The 20,252-nt window shown below is 44.1% G+C and overlaps 1 protein-coding gene and 1 long non-coding RNA gene across 10 annotated transcripts in view, besides 9 other annotated features; both read left to right on the plus strand.

Moving 5' to 3' along the window:
• ETV6 (ETS variant transcription factor 6) overlaps positions 1 to 20,252 on the plus strand; it is a 245,704-nt gene that overhangs the window by 61,793 nt on the left and 163,659 nt on the right. The window lies entirely within an intron of this gene.
• LOC124902879 (uncharacterized) lies at positions 474 to 10,967 on the plus strand. Its single transcript, XR_007063212.1, has 2 exons — positions 474 to 6,912; positions 7,593 to 10,967. It is a non-coding gene; the product is annotated as an uncharacterized LOC124902879 (long non-coding RNA).
• Positions 8,594 to 8,653: an enhancer, noted in NCBI's record as "active region_5972". NCBI's record gives its function as "activates an Ori minimal core promoter by ATAC-STARR-seq in GM12878 lymphoblastoid cells {active_cell/tissue: GM12878}" and the evidence as "EXISTENCE:reporter gene assay evidence [ECO:0000049][PMID:35858748]".
• Positions 8,744 to 8,893: an enhancer, noted in NCBI's record as "active region_5973". NCBI's record gives its function as "activates an Ori minimal core promoter by ATAC-STARR-seq in GM12878 lymphoblastoid cells {active_cell/tissue: GM12878}" and the evidence as "EXISTENCE:reporter gene assay evidence [ECO:0000049][PMID:35858748]".
• Positions 12,789 to 13,008: an enhancer, noted in NCBI's record as "active region_5974". NCBI's record gives its function as "activates an Ori minimal core promoter by ATAC-STARR-seq in GM12878 lymphoblastoid cells {active_cell/tissue: GM12878}" and the evidence as "EXISTENCE:reporter gene assay evidence [ECO:0000049][PMID:35858748]".
• Positions 14,080 to 14,279: an enhancer, noted in NCBI's record as "active region_5975". NCBI's record gives its function as "activates an Ori minimal core promoter by ATAC-STARR-seq in GM12878 lymphoblastoid cells {active_cell/tissue: GM12878}" and the evidence as "EXISTENCE:reporter gene assay evidence [ECO:0000049][PMID:35858748]".
• Positions 14,480 to 14,539: an enhancer, noted in NCBI's record as "active region_5976". NCBI's record gives its function as "activates an Ori minimal core promoter by ATAC-STARR-seq in GM12878 lymphoblastoid cells {active_cell/tissue: GM12878}" and the evidence as "EXISTENCE:reporter gene assay evidence [ECO:0000049][PMID:35858748]".
• Positions 15,870 to 15,919: an enhancer, noted in NCBI's record as "active region_5977". NCBI's record gives its function as "activates an Ori minimal core promoter by ATAC-STARR-seq in GM12878 lymphoblastoid cells {active_cell/tissue: GM12878}" and the evidence as "EXISTENCE:reporter gene assay evidence [ECO:0000049][PMID:35858748]".
• Positions 17,550 to 17,699: a silencer, noted in NCBI's record as "silent region_4246". NCBI's record gives its function as "represses an Ori minimal core promoter by ATAC-STARR-seq in GM12878 lymphoblastoid cells {active_cell/tissue: GM12878}" and the evidence as "EXISTENCE:reporter gene assay evidence [ECO:0000049][PMID:35858748]".
• Positions 18,950 to 19,059: an enhancer, noted in NCBI's record as "active region_5978". NCBI's record gives its function as "activates an Ori minimal core promoter by ATAC-STARR-seq in GM12878 lymphoblastoid cells {active_cell/tissue: GM12878}" and the evidence as "EXISTENCE:reporter gene assay evidence [ECO:0000049][PMID:35858748]".
• Positions 19,300 to 19,399: an enhancer, noted in NCBI's record as "active region_5979". NCBI's record gives its function as "activates an Ori minimal core promoter by ATAC-STARR-seq in GM12878 lymphoblastoid cells {active_cell/tissue: GM12878}" and the evidence as "EXISTENCE:reporter gene assay evidence [ECO:0000049][PMID:35858748]".

Raw genomic sequence — 20,252 nt, forward strand, 5'->3', positions numbered from 1 at the left:
GAACATTTTCCTTCCTTTTTCTTCATACATCGTGGTTCCTTCTCTCCTGCACTCTCACATAGATACCAGTATATAGAGATACTGTTTCTAATCCTGAAATTCCTTTTTTGAAGAAAAGAGAACATTGTGTGCCATTGTTTTCTGCGGGAGATCTATGCTGCGCTTCTGTTTTCCAAACATTTATCCTTAAAGCATTTTCAGATGTCAGTTAAACAAGGGAGCAATGGCCCCTGGGTCCTGTTAGGGACATACTCTTAATGACTGTAAAATGAATAAGGTATAGAGGAATATTCGTCTGAAGTCATGATTTGTACGTCATTTCCTTGCTTTCTTCAACATCATTATTTCTGAACCAGAAAGTATTTTGATCAACATTTTGGAGGAAGAATTGTATGGTATTTCCCAACCTTCCCCCCGTGGGTGGAATTGCATCACTGAATCACTTTTCTCTATTTTTTTCCACTTTCTGTCTCCTGTTTTGTCAAGGCTCCAGCAAACTCCAGCCTTTTTTCTGTGTTTTTTAGTCCTAAAATTCTAGCCTGGCATCTGCGATTGTGTTAGTTTCCCATCATTATTTTCTAGCCTAACAAGGAAGCCTCGTGAAAACAAAGCGTTCTGTTTAATCCTCAGGTGGACGTTTGAACCCTCGTAAACATGCTCCCTTCACCCCCCCATCTTACTTTTTAGCAATCTCAGAGATCAAAAAGACAGTCATCTCATCCAGTGTAGACAAAGTGAAGTACATTCCTTTCATTTGCCTTTGCTGTAGTCCCTATTTCATCCATCTAATCCGTTTTAAGGGATAAAATTGCAATTACAAACATTTCATGTGTGGTCAGATTTTTAGTATTTTAATCTGGTCTGAGACTTAAGATGAAATGACAGTTCTAACAGAGGTCCTGTGTGGAAGAAAGGACCTAGGTGCCAGTCTCAGTCCAGTCCCTTCTTAGACGTGTGACTTTGGAAAACCTCTCAGAGACCCATCATCTCGTCGTAGATGGGGATGGTATTACAGGTCGTGCTCATCTGTGTTAATCAGGGTTCTCCAGAGAAACAGAACCAATAGGAGATCCACATCGCTGTTGATGTCAATAGATAGATAGGTGTGTATGTAGGGATGGCAGGCTGGAGACCCTGGGAAGAGTTGATGTTGCAGTCAGGAGGCTGAACTTCCTCTTCCTTGGGAGACCCAAGTTTTTTTCTCTTAAGGCCTTCAACTGATTGGTTGAGGCCCACCCATATTATGGAGGGCAATCTGCTTCACTCAGAGTCTACTGACTTAAATGTCCATCTCATCTAAACGGTATCTTCACGGTGTTCAGGCAAATATCGGTGCCACGTCCTAGTCAAGTTGACACCTGAAATCAACCATCCCCCTCGCAGGAGTTTGTGAGCATCAGGTGTGAATGGTCAGGAGCTGCAGGCGTGCACGGAGGAGGCCACTGTTCTTCATGCTTGAGCCTTTTCTGTTTCTGCCTCGTTTACTTTCCTTCTCTCTCCTCACTGTTACCCTTTTCCTCCTACCTCTGACACCTGCCCTTCACCTCCCACCTGCTACCTGAGATGGGAGCCACACGTGAAGTGAGAAGAAGGGAGAATGACCAGGTGGGTGATGAATTTAAACTGGAAAGAGAACAGATCCTGATGCCAGTCAGGATAGAGGTGGTCTAGCTCTTATGTGATCATGGGCAAGTGAACATGCCTCAGTGAGCCTCTGATCAGTTTCTGTATGAGGATAATTATATTTATCCTCTAAAATGAGGATAATGATATTTATCTGATACAGTTCTTCTGCCCTAACACATACGTGTGCATTGCCTTTGCTTTCAAATGTTTGGTAATCACCTTTTTAGATTTAAATCATTACTCAAATTGAACTCTCCTTCAGCCTTTGTGTGTCTAGACTTTCCGTTAAGATTAGATTACTTGTTTTACTATGATTGTAAACCATTGTTTCCATGAAGTCTCATAGCAAATGTTCTTTTGCTTTCCTCTTTTGTTACTAGTCTCTTGTTATTTCTCAAACATATCAAGCGCACTTCTCCCTCAGGGCCTTTGCGTGTGCTGTTTCCTCTACATGGAGCTCAGATGACTGCATGTCTTTTTCCTAAACTTCTTTGAGGTGTCTGTTCAAATGTCTTCCACTCAGGGGGGCTTTCCCTGAGCACCTTATAGAAAATAAATAAAATGATATAATATCTGCTCTCACGTTCTGTTGCACTTGCCTTGCTTTGTTTTTCTTCATAGTCTTTATCTGGAATATATATTTATTTCTGTCTACATCCTCCCACTAGGACAGTGGTTCTTAACCTTGGATGTTCATTAGAATCACCCTGGGAGTTTAAAAAAATCCTCTCCTGTGTTCTAGAACAATTAAATTCAGTAATGTTATAAGGAAGAGACTCAGCATTAGTATTTTGTAAAACTCCCAGGAGATTCCTATGTGCAACCAAGCTTGAGAACCAGTGTTCTAGTCTAGAACCTTACTTCCCAGAGGATGTGGACTGGTGGCATCAGCATCACCTTTATTTGAAAGCTGAGTCCAATTCTTCTCTTTGGCAGGACCCACAGATGATGCATATGACATTAAAGCTTGAGATGCACTGCACTAGAATGCAGGGGCGTCATTTTGCTTGCTGCTGTATCCTTAGTGTCAGAACAGTACTTAGCACATCATAAGCACTCACTAAATATTTATCAAATGAATTAACGTTGGAGATGAGAGGAAGGAGGAGGTAATAATGGAAAGAGGACAAAGAAAGAGAGGCAAGGGAAGACAGAAAGAAAACAGATTTGGCCTCCCCACATTTTCTGGGCACAGATATAACGGCTCTCTCTTGCTCTTTGCTCCCAATCAAAACTCAGCCAGCCTCATGTCCAACATCTCATGGGCTTGCCTCCAGTTCTCTGCACTTTCCAAAGTGATAGCTGACTAATCAAAGATATTGTGATAATGAATTGCCTAACTACGCAGCCTGCCTTCTTCTCTTCTAGCATGTATTTGATTAGGGGCCTGCTGAAACCAATTAAGTAAATAATTCAGTATGACTTTATGAACTACCTACTACATGCATGGCTTAACACAGGCAGCCTCAAGAGGCTGAGAACCAAAGACGGAAAAAGCACAACTTATAGTCCAGCTATAGAGACAGACTTTTAGGTAAGTAATCATACCTTGAGGTGAAAAAAAAAAAAAAAAAAAAAAAGATCTGTGATGGAAGACACTTACAGACATGTAGACAGGGTGGTGTGGAAGGTCTACAGTAAGTGACTGTTTCAGACTGAGGGGAGGGAGTAGACTCCTGGTGAGGAGGGCAGGGGCATGTGAGTTGCGTATGTGAGTGGCTGGAACACAAGGTGGGGAGGCATGCTTGTGTGCTTTGGCAATCACAAAGACGGTTAGAAGGCAGTTAAAGGGTTGGAGTATGGTCAGTTCTGTGTTTTGAAGAGATGACTGACAGTCGTGGAAGGTGGATTGGAGAAGGAAGACCATGGGCCCATCACACCCAGTTTGGAGATGATTAAAGATGATACCCACGTTACATGACAGAGCCGTGGCAGGGGCAATAGGATGTAAAATGTGGAGATCGTTTTGAGATTTTTCAAATGGGGAAGACCATGTCTTTTTTGTTTAACCGAAATGAGCAGGAATTCTTGGGGTGACATCAAATTCGATAGTTCTATGAGCATATACACTGAAAACCACGATATTACGGAAATATAGGCTATTTCTCTTTTCACTGGCCTTTAGATAGACTGGATTAGTGGAGAGTTGAGCATTCGTCTTTTCTTAGAGCCTTGAGTGGAGATGGACCCTAGTGATTATTTATTTTGACTGCTTTATTTTGAAGATGAAGAGAAGGAGGCCAAGGTATGAAATGATTATCAGAACCAGGAATGCAACTTGAGGTCACCATTACTAGATACATAGTGAGTGCCAGGTGGTTTAAATACTCATTATCACCTTCAATCCTCACAACCATTGTATGAAACAGGGATGCTATGTTTATTTTAGGGATGAGAAAACCCAAAACTCAAGGAGGTAACTCACCCAAGGTTTTGCAGCTAGTAAGTGGTACAGCTGGGATCCAAACCCAGGTGTGTCCCAGCTACGCTGTGCCATCTACTCCTCTGCCCTGCTGCTTTCCTAATCAGTACTCCCTGATGCTGCTGAGGAAGAGTCGAACTTATAGAGGTCACACATTGTTTTCCTTGTTTTTGGATGCAGTTTTGTTTTCTTTGATAATCATAAATTGAGGATTTATGACAGCCGATTTCTCTCTGTTATTTTGGTCACAATTTCACAATGTGACCTTTGGAAGTAAGGGCTTTGAGTTCCTTAAAATAGCTAAATTGAGAGGATAAAGGAAAACTGACTCAAATCAGAGAATTTGCATCAGGTTTCTGTAGGTTTCTTATAATAATCAACAAGTATTTAGCAATTCTTTTTTCACATAAATAGAAGAGCCAAGAGAAGAACAGCGTCTTTGACCTGATGGTGTTAAGCCTGCAATCTGGGTAAAAAGGAATTTGCGGAACACTCTGGATCTGATACTGAAAAGTTGAAGAAAGCAACATCTTGCTTATTACCCTTGTGTTTAAGACCATTTGGGGCCGGGCGCGGTGGCTGACGCCTGTAATCCCAACACTTTGGGAGGCCGAGGCGGGTGGATCACGAGGTCGGGAGATCAAGACCATCCTGGCTAACATGAAAATTAGCCGGGCATGGTGGTGGGCGCCTGTAGTCCCAGCTACTCGGGAGGCTGAGGCAGGAGAATAGCGTGAATCTGGGAGGCTGAGCTTGCAGTGAGCGGAGATCATGCCACTGCACTCCAGCCTGGGCGACAGAGCAAGACTCCTTCTCAAAAAAAAAAAAAAAAAAAAAAAAAAAAAAGATCATTCGGAACCGAATATGTGAAGATCAGGGCTGTGATCTGGTGAATTGGGAGTGATTTATGCCACCCAAGCGAGTTGACCTGAACCGCTGGGGTCCATCATCCTGCTTCTGTTTCTGCACTGGCATTTGTGTTAGTATTTGGTGGAAGGTGGTTCACTTTTGGCTGAAGTTGGTGGATGTGGGCAGAGCAGGATTAGTTCCTTTCTTCTGCCCTCTCTTCTAGCAATGCTCCAAGGATGCTTTGGAAGACTCATTATTCAGAGCTGCAGCTGGACTGCCTTAGACATCTGCATTTCTCTATCTCTGAAATAAGGGACTCAAACAAGAGCATCACTCTTTTCCTTTCCAGCTCTAAAATTATGTGATTTTTCTTTCACATGGTAAGTGAAATAGTCATCTGAGCTGCTGTAGTAGGTTGAGCTTATTGTATCCCAGATCTGAGTGGTTCAACTCCATGTTCATGCTGCCCAGTTCCAAGAGCACCTCTGTGGCCTTCAAACAGTTGTACACAGTCTGTAAACTGCTCAGCCACTTCTCCCAGTCTTCTAAGCAGGCAAAGACTCCTTATCTCTTAGATCTAAAATCATTAGGTAGATTTTGATTCCAAGGGTCAAAGCACAGCATGGTAGGCAGCAAGCTCTCATCCAAGCCCGTATTTCAGCAGGCAGGCGATGCTGAGGTGCTTTAGGCCTTCAGTGCACACAGATAGATGCTTCCCCTGAGCCTCAGGGAAAGCTTTATTTTGCCCACGTTGTATTCCTTCCTGCATCGTATATGTTAATGTTGCTCTGCCACTCCAAATACAGCAGTGTCTGCTCAGTTCCATTTTCTTCCTTTTGCAAAGAGCAGGCAACCAGCTATGCCTTCCTGAGAGCAGACAAACCTGGAGCCAAGGGGGCCACATTTTCAGCTTCAATAGCAATTGCTGCAGCTCCCTTATTTCATCACCTATTAGGATGCGCAGGCGGCGCTAAGTGACACATAGCCCATAAAACATATCTGCTTCCTGCTGATTTCATGGTTCTGGAGGACAGGCTGTGCACAGGGATTCAGACAGAGTGTAGTAACAAGCAGGGGTGCTATGGAATATTCATTTATCCTAAATAAATATCTTTTTGGCAACTGCTTTTCCCTATAGTGTAATACAGTAACGCTATGGGGCATGTATACATGTGTGTGCATAAGGAACATCCGTCCATCTCTAGCTGTCATGTCTGAGAACATTAATAAAAGGCTCGACCTCATGCGCCTGCAAGTGATCACAAGACAGTTACTGAAGCATTCAAAGAAGCAATGTCTTTGTCATCTGACTCATTTTGAAAACGCATGAGAATGCTTTCCCAAGGCAATTTCTTACAAAATACACCGTGGGACATTTTTCCTATAGTTTATTGTTGTTGATGATCATCGAGAACTTTGTACCCAGAGACACTCTACACTGTGAGTGTCCCCTGATATTCCCTCCCACTCAGCCTGATCAGTGGTATCTGACCTCCAACTACTCGCTGCAACAACCCGTTCTCTAGCTGAGTGGGCCTGGACTTTGAACAGAATTAACAGCCTGGAAGTGGAGTTCTCAATCTCAACAGCCCCTTACCTCATGCAAATTTCTTTTGAGCTGAAAAGAACAAACAGAATGCCACCTTTTAAAACAACCTTCTTCGAAACATGGGGGGAAAGTCAGGTTTTATATAAATCAGAGAGATAGAAATAAGGCCCATAATAAAAAACTTGAAATAGATTTGGGAAGTTTCCGAAACTTCCAAAAACTAGTGGTCCAAAGTGGGCAATATTTTTTGTGTGCATTGAGAGGCCCTTCCTGTTTCCTTGGTCCATGCTGGTGTCTTGCCCCGTTCCAGGAACCCTGGGCTCCCCTGTGCTGAGCAGCCCCCACACCTCAGCCCAAAGCCTCACCCCTTGCCTGACCACACCCCATTTCTTTTGGCACAGCTTCCCAGACTTACAAGATGTCTTGAAGTGACTGAATGGAGTTAGTGTTCGGCAGGACTGGCTAGGTAACTACTGGGACTTGGTGCAGAATGTAGATGTAGGGCTCCTTGTTCAAAAATTAGGAAGAATTTCAAGATAGCCACAGCAGAGCATTAAAACAAACCCAGGTTGGCTAGGTGTGGTGGCACACTCCTGAAATCCTAGCACTTTGGGAGGACGAGGCAGGCGGATCGCTTGAGCTCAGGAGTTTGAGACCAGCCTGGGCAACATGACGAAACCCCATCGCTACTAAAAAAAAAAAAAAAAAAAAATTAGTTGGGCATGGTGGTGTGTGCCTGTAGTCCCAGCTACTTGGGAGGCTGAGGTGGGAGGCTTGCTTTTAAGCCTGGGAGGCAGCCTGGGCAACAGAGTGAGACTGTGTCTCAAAAAAATTCTCAGACAAGCACAGGACCTCTGTATGACTGCACAGGTCACAGGTCGCACACTCACGAAGCCAGCCCAGTGCTCAATACTGTATTTTAGAATAAGCAGGAATCAGTTTAGGGCTGCCAGACTTGCAGAACAATCACTGTGAGGGCTGATGGCAGATCCCTGATCTGTGATTCAGAAAGAGTCATTCAGACAGGCATTGCCCAGAGTCTGGGTTCTCTCTCTCCTGAAGTTGTTGAGGCTGTGCAGAATGTATGTGTTTAGTGTTTCATCCAGTCTGTTAGGGTAATCAGTGTGATTTCTCTGGCATCTCCAGGACTGGAAGCAGACCAGATTTAATCAAAGCTGTTGAAGCTGCCCAGGGACTGGCTAAGCTGCCACCCTGTTAGTGAGGCCGCTGGGGAGAGGGAAACTGAAGCCTGCACCACGGGGAGCCGTATACTGGAGTCTGGAATCCATTTGCTCCACGCAGGAGGCCTGCATCTCAAGTCAGGAGGCACTGCCTGGAAATCTAGCATCATGTTGATACTCTTTGGTGAAGGAAATGTGGTCCTTGCCCCAAGTTATCTCACAGTCCCTTTGGGCAATCTCATGCATATTAAAAATACCGACAAACATAGACCCACGAAAGATCCTGATCTTTTAGGTCTGTCATGTGATAGAGACAGTAAGTGCTCTGTATAGACATCAGGAGATTTTCTTCCCTGAAGGACAAGCTCTTGTAGCATTTTCCTGCACTGAGATGCAGTCATGCTAGCCTGTCTTTCACTCACCAGGGATGGCAAGGAAGGACCAGCTGACAAGTAATAAAGCAAACCAGTTTGTAATTTTACAGGGCTCTGAATAAAGATGCATTTATCTCTGGCCAACACCAAGAGGCCTCGATGTCTCTCACAGGGAGGAACTTGATGGGCTGTGGCGTCTTTTGGGGGTGCTAGGGCAGAGTCAGGCTTGAATCTGAGAAAGGCAAGTCTGTGCATTAAAATCCAGCACGGGGGTGGGTCTGGGGCAAGGGACAAGAGAGAAGCGGGAATGGAAGGCAGGGATGAGGACTGGTAACAGACCCTCTGCCTCCTTCCTTCCTCTTCCCTCACACTGGCTCTTTCAGCCACTTCCCTCACTGAGATAGGAAGCGGTCCTGTGGTGACGCCAAGGGCACAGGCTTCTGCTGTCTGGGCTCCGGCACAGTCATTGGCTCTGAGTCATCCGGGAAGGAAAGGCATCTTTTACCGCCCCCTCTCCCACCGTGGCCTCAGGCTCCCACCATGCAGGAAATGCCTGGTCTCCCACGAATCAGAAGCTATAAACAGGACTGGTGGCAGTTCATACAGATTTGGCAAAGGACGAGAAGCTGTGGGTTATTGGTATCAGTGATTATAGAAGGGGAAAGAGTTGATATCTGAAGATAGGAAAAGGGGCTTCTGAGGATGGTGTTAGCATGTTCAGGCACAGCATTAATCTTTAAGAGTCACGAAGAGCCATCAGCACAGTCATCTCCCTAATAAGCCTTGAGAGTGTTGTCAAAGACACTTCTGGATATAAGTAAGAAACCATTGAGACTGAGTTGTATGGTTAAACAGCACAGTTTTTAGGGAGAGGCAAAGGCAACTCTGTGTTCAGCTCTTAGTTCTGACACTTATGAACTCAGATTTAAATTCCCTGAGCCTCAGTTTCCCTGTCTGTAAAATCAGGATAAAAATTTCTTGCTCAAGGCCAACAAAAACAAGCAATGGGGTAAAGGACTCCTTATTCATAAATGGTGCTGGGATAGCTGGCTAGCCATATGCAGAAGAATGAAACTGAACCCTTACCTTTCACCATATACAAAAATTAACTCAAGATGGATTAAATCGAAATCTAAGACCTCAAACTGTAAAAATCCTAGAAGAAAACACAGGAAAAACCCCTCTTGACACTAGCCTTGGCAAAGGATTTTTGGCTAAGTCCCCAAAAGCAATTGCAACAAAAACAAAAAATTGACAAGTGGGAACTAATTAAACTAAAGAGCTTCTGCACGGCAAAAGAATCAACAGAGTAAACAGCAACCTACCGAATGGGAGAAAATATTTGCAAACTGTGCATCCAACAAAGGTCTAATATCCAGAATCTATAAGGAACTTAAATCAAGAGGCAAAAAAACAATAACTCCATTAAAAAATGGGCAAAGGGCATGAACAGACACCTCTTAAAAGAAGACATACAAGCAGCCAACAAACAAGAAAAAATGCTTATTATCACTAATCATCAGAGAAATGCAAATCAAAGCCACGACGAGATACTGTCTCACACCAGTCAGAATGCTATTATCAAAAGTCAAAAAATAACAGATGCTGGTGAGGCTATGGAGAAAAGGGAATGCTTATACACCGGTGGGGGAAATGTAACTTAGTTCAGTCATTGTAGAAAGCAGTTTGGAGATTTCTCAACTTAAAACAGAGCTACCATTCAGCCCATAAATCTCATTACTGGGTGTATATCCAAAGGAAACTAGATCATTATACCAAAAAGACATATACACTTGTATGTTTACTGCCACGCTATTCACAGTATCAAAGACATGGAATCAACCTAGGTGCACATCAACAGTGGATTTGATTTTGTTTTAATGTGGTACATATACACCATGGAATACTTTGCAGCCATAAAAAGGAATGAAATCATGTCCTTTATAGCAACATGGGTAACCATGTTGGAAGAGCTGGAAACCATAATTCTAAGTGAATGAATGCAGGAACAGAAAACCAAATGCTGCATGTTCTCACTTATAAGTAGGAGCTATACATCGAGCACTCATGAACATAAACATGGGAACAATAAACACTGTGGACTACTAGAGGGAGGAGCGGGAGGGGGTTAATGAGTCAGAAACTACCTCTTGGGTACTGTGCTCACTACCTGGATGCAAGATACCCATGTAACAAACCTGCACACGTAAACCCTATGTCTAAAGTAAAAGTTGGAAAAGAAAAAATATTTCCTAAATTGTTCTAGAATTAAGCAAGGTAATATTTATAAGACATCCAGCAGAGGGTCTGGCACCCTGGCATATAATAGATGCCTAATGAACATTAGTTTCCTTATTTTTCTTACGAGAGTAAAATATTAAGATGTACATATTCTGTTAGGTCATAGAAAGTTTGAATGGTGGGAAAAGTCAGCTGTTAAAATGCTGTGGGATCTCTTTTTGAGCCTTTTCACCTGTGATCAAAGTTGTCCATCACCCTGGCATTTTTGAGAGCTGTAATTTAAGGAAGAAGGTATCATAGGTTACCTCTGTGGAAATTCTAGAATTTGAATATTATGCCCCTGCTCACTTGTAGACTGGGCTGTCACTATAAAGTTAGGCTGACTTGACTGTATCTGATAATTAGGGGCTGGGAGAGCATGGAAAATTGAAGCCATAGATAATCCCAGTGTCTTGTTTTAGCCAATAATAATTCTTCTCCCACCAAGTCTTTATCAGAACTGCTAACAAGGAGAAAAGTCGACTGGTTTGAGTTTCCTCACCTTTTATTCTCCCCTGGGTATCTTCAGTAGAGGTGCTAATGAACAGTGAAATGGCCAAAAGGTGAGCAGCTCCAGGGAGGAGAAGAAGGAGGCTCAGATAATCCACAAACTGTAATCGCTTTGAATAATTGAGTTAACTCCAGTAAAATGTAGAGATACATTCACCTGCTAGGCATTGTTGGAAGCTAAATTAACACACTGGAAGCAAAGCTTTCTTTTAAGTTTCATTTTTAATCTAATGGTGGACATTTTGGGGCACTGCAGCCTATTAAATCTGCTAACTGATGTTCAGACGTTATGAAGGAGTTAAACTATTCTAAGAATATTCAAGGCCTGTTGTTCTCTCCTAGGCTTTCTACGTCAAAGAGTAAAGTCAGAAAAGCCAAACTGATTTCTCCTAAAATGAAGAGAATTGAAGTTACTCTCCCAAACCCCAGTTGTAGGCCAGGCCCTAAACTGAGAGAAATGGACAACCCAAATATTTTGACCTTTGCCCATTGCCAGGTGAGGCCAGATCCGGGGAGGAAGTGATGTTTTCTTATCTGCCTTAACTTAGCCACTACGTGGAGAAGCACTGTAATGTAATTAATGCAGAGGTGCTCAAATTCTGGTGTTCCTCAGAATCACCTCAGGGGCTTTTAGAAACAGTTGCTGGGCCGTTCTCTCAGAGTTTCTGATTTGGTAGGACTGGGGTGGGACAAAGAATTTGCAAATCTGAGAAGTTCCCGGTTCCAGGGACCGCACTTTAATAACCACAGGTGAAACCAATGAGAAGCTGAGCTCCGAAGTCAGACTACCTGGGCTTGAATCTCAGATCTCTCACTTGGTAGTTGTGTGACTGGGTAGTTGATAGTTTACAGAATCTCTTTGTACCCTCGTTTTCTCATTTGTAAAATGGGAATCCTAATATCTCATAGGATTGTGAGTATTAAATGAATTAATATGTGATAAGCCCTTAGAACATTCCCTGCTCTATGGCAAGTGTGCATTGTAGGTTAGTATGACACGGTTATAGGCTCTCTGTAACAATGAATATAGTGACTGATATTTTTTGAGCACTTACTATAGGCCAGAGATTGACTCAGTACTTTGCAAGGATTATCACATTTAATACCCACAACGCACTCTCCCTCCTTTCCCATGTCCTGCTTGCCTTCTTTCTTCCACTTTCAGTTATTCCTTTTTCCCTTCCATTCTTTCTTGCTCTTCAAAAGCCATATTGTGACAAAATTAATCCATTCTAAATGAAAAAGAAAATGTACCTTAGTTATAAAGTATGACCTTTGTGAGTTTTTTCAGGACTGTTCACCTGTTCTTTGCCTTTTATTCCAGCGTGGTACCCGGCACATAGTAGGAGTTTGGTGAACATTAATTACTTGAATCTCGTTATCCTTAAAAATCAAACAGGGTTTATCTATCAGGGTTCCCTTCTCTTCCTTTGTCCTATCCTGGCCTCTCCTTGACCAACACATTGGTAAATTTGGCCTCTGCTCTTTCTTTTCCCCAACTGCAGGGGCCCACATGTCAAGACAAGGTGGCATCACCAACCATTGAGAAAGCTTTTATTTCACTAGCTTCTACCTGGACCACCCATCAAAAATCTTTAAAACGAGTATTCCTTGGGACAAGGCCAGGTGTCATTGAGAGTCCCCAGGAAGAGCATAGGAGTCCTGGTCTGGGAGGGCCGGACCTACACTCTCGGGGGTGCCCAGAGGAAGAACAGGGCCTTTAAAGTCACCCTATGTTCTCTGACCCGTGCAGTGGTGGCATACTCCCTCCCCCACCCCTGACCTGAGGGTGCTGTGTGTCAGCTCTCCTAACTCTTGGTCTCATTAGGGAAGCTGGTTGTCAAGTACTGCCCAGTTACAGTTGGTTTAAACTCTCAACTAAGGGATCGTAAGCAGGTCAGCTGCCTGAGTCTCCAGTTACTCTTGCAGCTCAGGTTTCCCCTTGACAGGTCCTGATAGGGGCTACTTTTGCACCATTGATGTGGCCAGGGCTTACAGCAAGGTTTAAGGTTTCCATGCGCAGCCTTCTTGGCAGGCAGCTCCCAGAGAAAGGAGTATGGTTTGGGAGAAAGCTGCAAGGCCTGTTCGTGGATCCTTAGTATTTTGAGCCGATCACGTGGAGTGGGCCTGTGCCCATCAGTACCAGGAGACTTTATACTTAGGGGAGAATCTGTATGCGGTGTGATTTTCAAGGGTCTATTTCCTCATTGTTTCTCTTTGCTTGCCCTATGGCTGAGTATTAAATGAACATTGAAAGTCTACTATATGCCGGTTACTCTGCTAGATACTAGCAGAGATGGAGGGTAGGATACAAAGACAAGTAAGGCCTAGTCTTCAGGAAGCCTTTATTTGTGCTCTGTGTATCAGAAGAGGGTTGAGTTGGTGACAAGAATAAAGAGTTGAGGGGAGTGAGGGGCTGAAAAATAATAAGCCTTAGAGAACTAGGAATAAAGTGTTAACTTGGGAAAATTGTTGAAACAGTTCCTTAAGATATTTGTAGTAGATATGTCTCTAGATAAGAGGCTTGTCTGGCTGTGAGGTCCTTGCACGAGACCCTTGCAGGTTTCCCAAATCTATTTGGACTGGGTGTCCTGTATTAACATGAAATCGTAGGCAGACACTGAATAAATCGCAACAGAGTTTCGGTTGTGGCTGCTCCAGTGTCTTGGAGTGGTTGCTCCAGACACATAGGTCTTATCCTCCTGCCCTGAGGTTCTCCAAATTTGCATTTGGGAAGTGTATAGTTTTATGACTGTTTCTTTTATCGTGAACTTACGGCCACCCCACTTCCCTGCCCACTTCCCCATCAGCTTCACCTTGGGTCGCGGCACATCTGTTCTCCAGAACATGTTCCCTGCCAGGAATCTGCAGGGAGCTCTTAAGACTTATCTTTCTTTTTAGCTGTTTTTTTTTTTTTTCCACTCAACTTCTAGGCTAGTGCTGAGTACTTATATGTCATGCTGTGAATATGTGTGTGAATGGATTGGTCAGAATTCCAAATTTTAGTTGTAAGAAAATTCTTTTGTGCAGCGTGCATGGCTCAAAATGAGAGAAAAGACACTGACGAGGACTTGGCAGCCCCGAGCTTTTCCTTGGGATGTTATTTGCTTTAATAAATTTTGACCTATTTTGTAACAGACCAGGTTGGAGTTCCCTTTTTAACCTGCTGTTTCAACAAAGTTAAGTGCATTGAAGGTCTATCTCAAAGGCAATATATATTTTAAAAATTTCAGAATCCTATTCTGAGGCTGAATTATGGCTTTTTCTTTTCCCATAGGATTTACATGTACACTCATCTGTATTACTTCAGATGTTGCTGCTGTAGTTTGGATGTTTCTCTCCCCAAACCTCATGTTGAGACCTGATCTCCAGTGTTGGAGGTGGGGCCTAATGCAAGGTGTGTGGGTCATGGAAGTGGATCCCTCTTGAGTAGATTGCTGCCCTCCCTGTGGTGGGGTGAGTGAGTTCTCGCTCTGTTAGTTCTCACAGAAGCAGATTGCTAAAAAGAGCCTGGTACCTCCCCCTGCCTCTCTCTTGCTTCCTCTCTTGCCACGTGATCTCTGCACACGCCGGCTCGCCTCACTTTCCGCCACGAGTGGAAGCAGCCTGAGGTCCTCACCAGAAGCAGATGCTAGGGCCATGCTTCCTGTAGCGCCTGTAGAACTGTAAGCCAAATGAACCTCTTTTCTTTATGAATTCCCCAGCCTCAGATATTCCTTCCTAGCAGTACAACATGACTAAGACAGTTAACTTCCCATCTGACTCCCTCCAGTTGCTTCAAGGGTAGGCAAGAATTGTATATTAGCTATTTCTACATCCAGCTGTGTATCCACAGTGCCTCTTATATTTGGCCTATAGTACATACTAAAGAAATGTTTATGTACTCTAGAAATGTACTCAAGAAATGACCAAATGAATGGATAACTTGGCTCATGAGAATTCTTAAGGGCATTTGAAATGGCAAGGGGTATGTTTGGAAGAAGGAGTGTGAGGAGCTGAAGGAAAAGAGGGGAGACCAGCTGTGTTCAGAACCCACAGTCATTTCCTCAGGAAACAGTACCAGATATCCTTGGATGTGGGGAAATGATCCACTCTTGCAGTAGCCTAGGCCACAGGTAATTTTGTGTACCCACTATGCACTTAGCTCATACAGTAGGTCGTAAAAATGAAAATGGCATGATTCCTTCATAATCTAGGTGGGGAGACACTATAAATACACAAATAATTTAAAAGTACAGGGCTGAGCACCGTAGCTCACACCTGTAATCCCAGCACTTCGGGAGGGCAAGGCAGGAGGATCGCTTGCCCCCAGGAGTTCAAGACCAGCCTGGACAACATAGTGAAACTTCATCCCTAGAAAAAACAATTAGCCAGCTGTGGGGCATGCCTAGAGTCCCAGCTACTTGGGAGGCTGAGGTGGGAGGATTGCTTGAGCCCAGGAGTTCAAGGCTGCAGTGAGCCGTGATCACACCACTGCACTCCAGCCTGGGTGACAGAGCCAGACCCTGTCTTAAAAGAAAAGTACAGATTATTTCAGGATTAAGCATATGAGTACTTAGGCTAGAGAGAGGCAGAGAAATGACTCCTGTTTTCCAGCCACTGTCACACTGCAGTGTAAGCCATCGACACACACATACACTTCACTTCATCTGCACAGCCTTTCAAGATAGGTGTTTTTATCTCCAGTTTACAGGTGAGGAAACCGAGCTTTGGGACCAAGTTACTTGTGCAAATCACACAGCTGGGAAATATCATTGCCAGGATTTGAATCTGAGTCTGCAGCAATTCAGAGAAAGGGCACGCACAGTGGCTTTTGTGTCAGGGAAGAGACATTGTCTGTATTGTGGGGGTAGGTGAACTACGGCTGGAACACCAGCATGCAGAGGACTTGCCTTTTAGCTCTGAGGAGGTCGCCTGCCCTTGCATATCTATAAACAACCACCCTGGATTGAGAGCTGTTGAATGGGGAGTTTGTCTGACTCCCAGAAGAGAGCACAGTACAGGAGAAACCTTATATAACGCAGACATGCCCGGCATCCCGCAGGCGGGCGCAAGCCAACCGCACACCTCACAGACCCAGCTTTTGTTGTGTAGGCGCTGTGGTGTAAAAACCATCCTTTAGGGCCCTCTCCCTCGTGGTGGCAGCGTGCCTGGGAGCTTTCTGTTCTATTTGTGGTATCTGTTCCCTTTGATCATTGTGCATTGCTTTGTTCCTCATCTCCCTCTTTGGTGTCACCTGTGAAGTCACTGGAGAGCCATAATCATCCTAAAGAAAGACTCAGAGAAGAAGAAGTAAGACCTAAGAAAACAGACCCTTTAGCCTCCTTGGAGCTGGTTTTCTAGTTAAGAGGCTTGATTAAAAGCGTGGGGGGAATGGATCTGTGACGTACATGGTCATGAAAAGTGCAGCCAGCGTTACAGCACACGTCTGTATAGGTTGCATCACAGGCAGGGAAGAGGCCTAAGGGCCTGGTGGCCCGCAGGTGTGAGCCCCTCTGGTGGCTCCATGACAGGAGACCCCGCGGAGAAAGTAGCTCCTCTTCCTTTTTTAAATTTTTTTTTATTTTTATTTTTTACTTTGAGACGGAGTCTCTCTTTGTTGCCCAGGCTGGAGTGCAGTGGTGCGATCTCAGCTCACTCCACCCTCTACCTCCCGGGCTCAAGCAGTTCTCCTGCCTCAGCCTCCCGAGTAGCTGGGATTACAGACACGCGCCACCACGCCTGGCTAATTTTTAAAATTTTAGTAGAGACGGGGTTTCACCATGTTGGCCAGGCGGTTCTCGAACTCCTGACCTCAAGTGATCTGCCCGCCTCGGTCTTCCAAAGTGCTGGGATTATAGGCATGAGCCACCGCTCCCCGGCCTCCCCTTCTTATAACACTTGAGGCCTGTGCTTCAGTTCATGGGCCTTATGTAAAGGCTTCTGTCACCTGTCTACTCCTTCTTCAAGCTGGCTGTTTATTCGGCACAGAGGAGTAAATTACAGGTGGATTATGCAGTGACAAGCACTTTTATACCTCCTGTAAGAACAGTTTATACCAGGGGTCCCCAACCCCCAGACCGCAGACTAGTACTGTCCGTGGCCTTTTAGGAACTGGGCCGCACAGCAGGAGGTGAGTGGCGGGCAAGTGAGCATTACCACCTGAGCTCCGCCTCCTGTCAGATCAGTGGCAGCATTAGATTCTCGTAAGAGCACGAACCCTGTTGTGAATGACACATGTGAGGGATCTAGGTTGTGTGCTTCTTATGAGAATCTAATGATAAATGTCATGTGCTTGAATCATCCTGAAAGCATCCCTCTGCCCCCAGTCCGTGGAAAAATGTTCTTCCACCAAACCAGTCCCTGGTGCCAAAAAGGTTGAGGACTGCTTGTCTATGCCTTAAAAAAAAAAGGTCCATTTACTTTGCAGTCATAGAGGACGCAGGGCTGGACTTGAGGAAATCTACCTAGAAATCCCCTTCAGGTTAAGATTTATGACATTAGCTTCACTATTGAATTGGATCATAGACATCTATAATTAAAGGAAACCATTTACACTTTATTGTTCATTAAATGTTTAAACCACCTGAAAAGATTTTTTTCTAATTGAGCCTTTTTGCATAGTTACCAGTTACCCGTATCTGACTTCAAGTCTTTAGCCGTATACCTACATGGTTCCATAGTTATCAATGTTTATTTACAATTTAATATTCTTCTTTAGCATTATTTAATATCAAAATGATAATATGTACTACGGTAGGTTGGGCTTTACAGCTTACAAAACACTTTGACATACATTCTCTATTATTTTTGATGGCTCTGTGACATACTGAACTGAAGCAACAGTTTAAGGCTATTTCTAAATTGGGCTCTGCTCAAGTGTGAGAAAGCGTGACAGTCAACATGAACTAGCTTTAGCCTTATCACCGTTTCCTGCTCAGGCAGGTAAGATCTGCTGAAGGAAGGAACCGTTGCCAACTGGCCAGGTGTGCCAGTTCGTGGCCTAGAAGGGGCAGCTGTCAGTTGAACTTTGCCCATGTTTTCAGGATTTTATCTCAACTCCTGAGTAGTCTCATCTGGGTGGGAGCACTAGAATTGAAGGCCTGTTCAAAGGTTTTGTGCCTTTAACTGGAGAATTTTTTGGAAGCCCCTTAGAACTGCCAGGCAGCCATGTGGGATCAGGTGGGGGGGACTGGGCTGCTGTGTGGTAGATTTGAGTTCATGTCTCATAAATGGACTCTCCCCGAATCTGAGAGGGTTGCTCCCTAAGTCAACTACTTAATAATTAATGGAAAGGAGATGTGACAGGAATAGCCAATTTCCCTGTCCTGTTTGGTATGACTGTTGGCAATTTGATGATTCCTTCCTTAACCTTGAAGCAATCTCAGTTTGACTGACTCATACTATGGGGAAGATAGTGGCCTTTGAACTCTTGACTCAATACAGTCTTGACCTTGGTTAGATACTACCTTGACCTCTGGATAAAACTGTACTGGGCATTACTATTTTATTGATTGTTCTCTCAACAAAACAACCGTATCTTTAAAAAATTTTTTTATCTTACATGTCTGAAGTAGAAGGTCACCTCTTTTGTAGTGAAAAAATAACTATTTTCCCCATGGTGTGCTGAATGCATGGGTTAAAGCAGGTAGACCAGCTGTCCTGGGTTTTATCCCTATGTGTTTTTTGCTGATTCACAAAGGCATTTAATTTCTCTCTACCACGCTTTCTAGGTCTGCAAAATAGAAAGGGGAGTTCATGACCATCTATGCGTTACTGGGGGATTTTTCTGTGCAAGCGAAAATTATTGATGCAACCAGAGGACTTGCTGCCAGCGTCGAGGGGTGCATTTTACTCCCTCTGTAAAGAGGCCAGCAGTAATGATAGAAACACAGTGCATTTGACTCTGACCTTATATTTGACAACTCTTCCTCTACAATCCTTAAAAAACATGCCTCACCATTTAAGAGACCAGCAGCAGGCCTTCAGCAAAGCCCACGGTCTAGGCAGCCTTTGTAGGCCTCTGGGATTGTGGTGAGAAAACCTTATCCCTCTCTTATTTCCTGATAACTTTACATTTTAGAGGTGTCTGGAAAGAAAGGTGGCAGAAAAGCAGCATAACCTGCTTGACAAGTCCTGTACAAACAGAAGTCCAATGAGGCTGCTGCTCTGGGGTTGCCAAGCTCAAGGAAGCCAATTGTAGTGTGCACAAAGGTGCAAGTCACCAAGGCCTCAGAGAGCTCCAAGGAAGCCTGTGCAAAGGCAGGATTTAGAGTTCTAAGGACGGGTTGTCCAGCGCAGCCCAGCAGAGAACCTAGGTCCATAACTGTGGACTCTCCTGTGAGGGAGCCATGTTGCGGGGTGGACATCTGACAGTTGTCCCTGCTCTGTGAACCTGCGACTTCATCCTACAGGTGCAGAGAATGGTTTTGGCAACTCTCTCCACCGCAGAATGTGGGCGGACTTCTGAGCTGGGTTTGATTTTCCTCTTTTGCTTTGGAGTGTACAACAATCAACCCTTTAGAGCAGAAGTAGAGGAATGGAAGACTTTCCCATGGCCCAAGACCCCTCAGTGGGTTGCTGTTTGCTCTTCCCTAGAATATTATAATGTTCAATTTATGCCTCCAGGAGACCAGAGACACACGTTTCCCAAATGTGGGTACAGGTGGCTTTAAGCTGTTTCTGTGAGTAGAGGCCCAGTGACATGTTCCCCAGTGTAACCCCCTCCTTGGTTTCACATCCCCTCTACCCGATTCTAGGCCAAGCCCCTCCAGTGTAGTTGGTGACCCAGAACAGGTGAAAGTGAGGCTGCCTTTTGTAGCACTGCTCTTTGTGAATGGGAAGTGCTGCTGGGGAGAAATGATTTTAAGTGTGAGCTTTGCTGTTAGGGGCAGCCCTCTTTCTCCACTGCAATAAGAAGAGTCATGACTAAGTCTAGAAAGGCAGGTTTTGATCTTTAGGATACTGTGATGTATGAAATAAAGGTATGTCCTTCTTATTCGGTGTTGCATTGTCAGCACCTAACACAGTGTTTAATTAAAGCAAAAATTTTTGTATTGAAAATATAACTAGGTGGAGGAGTAAGTCAGTGCTACTTAAGTGTGAGTATTTGTCTTCCCTGATCAGATGGTTTTCTACGTACTCAAAATTTCATGTAGTAAGAATGCAGGATGCTTATGGAGAAAAGTGAGTGTTGTTTGTTTCTCCTTAATATTTATATATAAAAGCAAGAGCTTATTAAACTTTTAGACGTCTTTGGAGGTTTGAAATTTCCCACTGTTATTCTTAAGAAGAGAAGAGAAAGAATAATTTTTTTTCTTCTGTCTTATTGGCCTTTAAGGAAAAGCGAATTTCAGAAAAACATGGGACGGAACAGGAAGTGTTTACAGGTTTAGTCATACTTGTTAGGTATGAAAAAGCCCCACTGCCTTCTCATATTGTTTCTTTTATGAACTTAACACTTCCTACTTTGAGAATACCTT

The sequence above is a fragment of the Homo sapiens genome, chromosome 12 (genome assembly GCF_000001405.40).
Source record: "Homo sapiens chromosome 12, GRCh38.p14 Primary Assembly".
In the NCBI taxonomy this organism is placed as follows: Eukaryota; Metazoa; Chordata; class Mammalia; order Primates; family Hominidae; genus Homo; species Homo sapiens.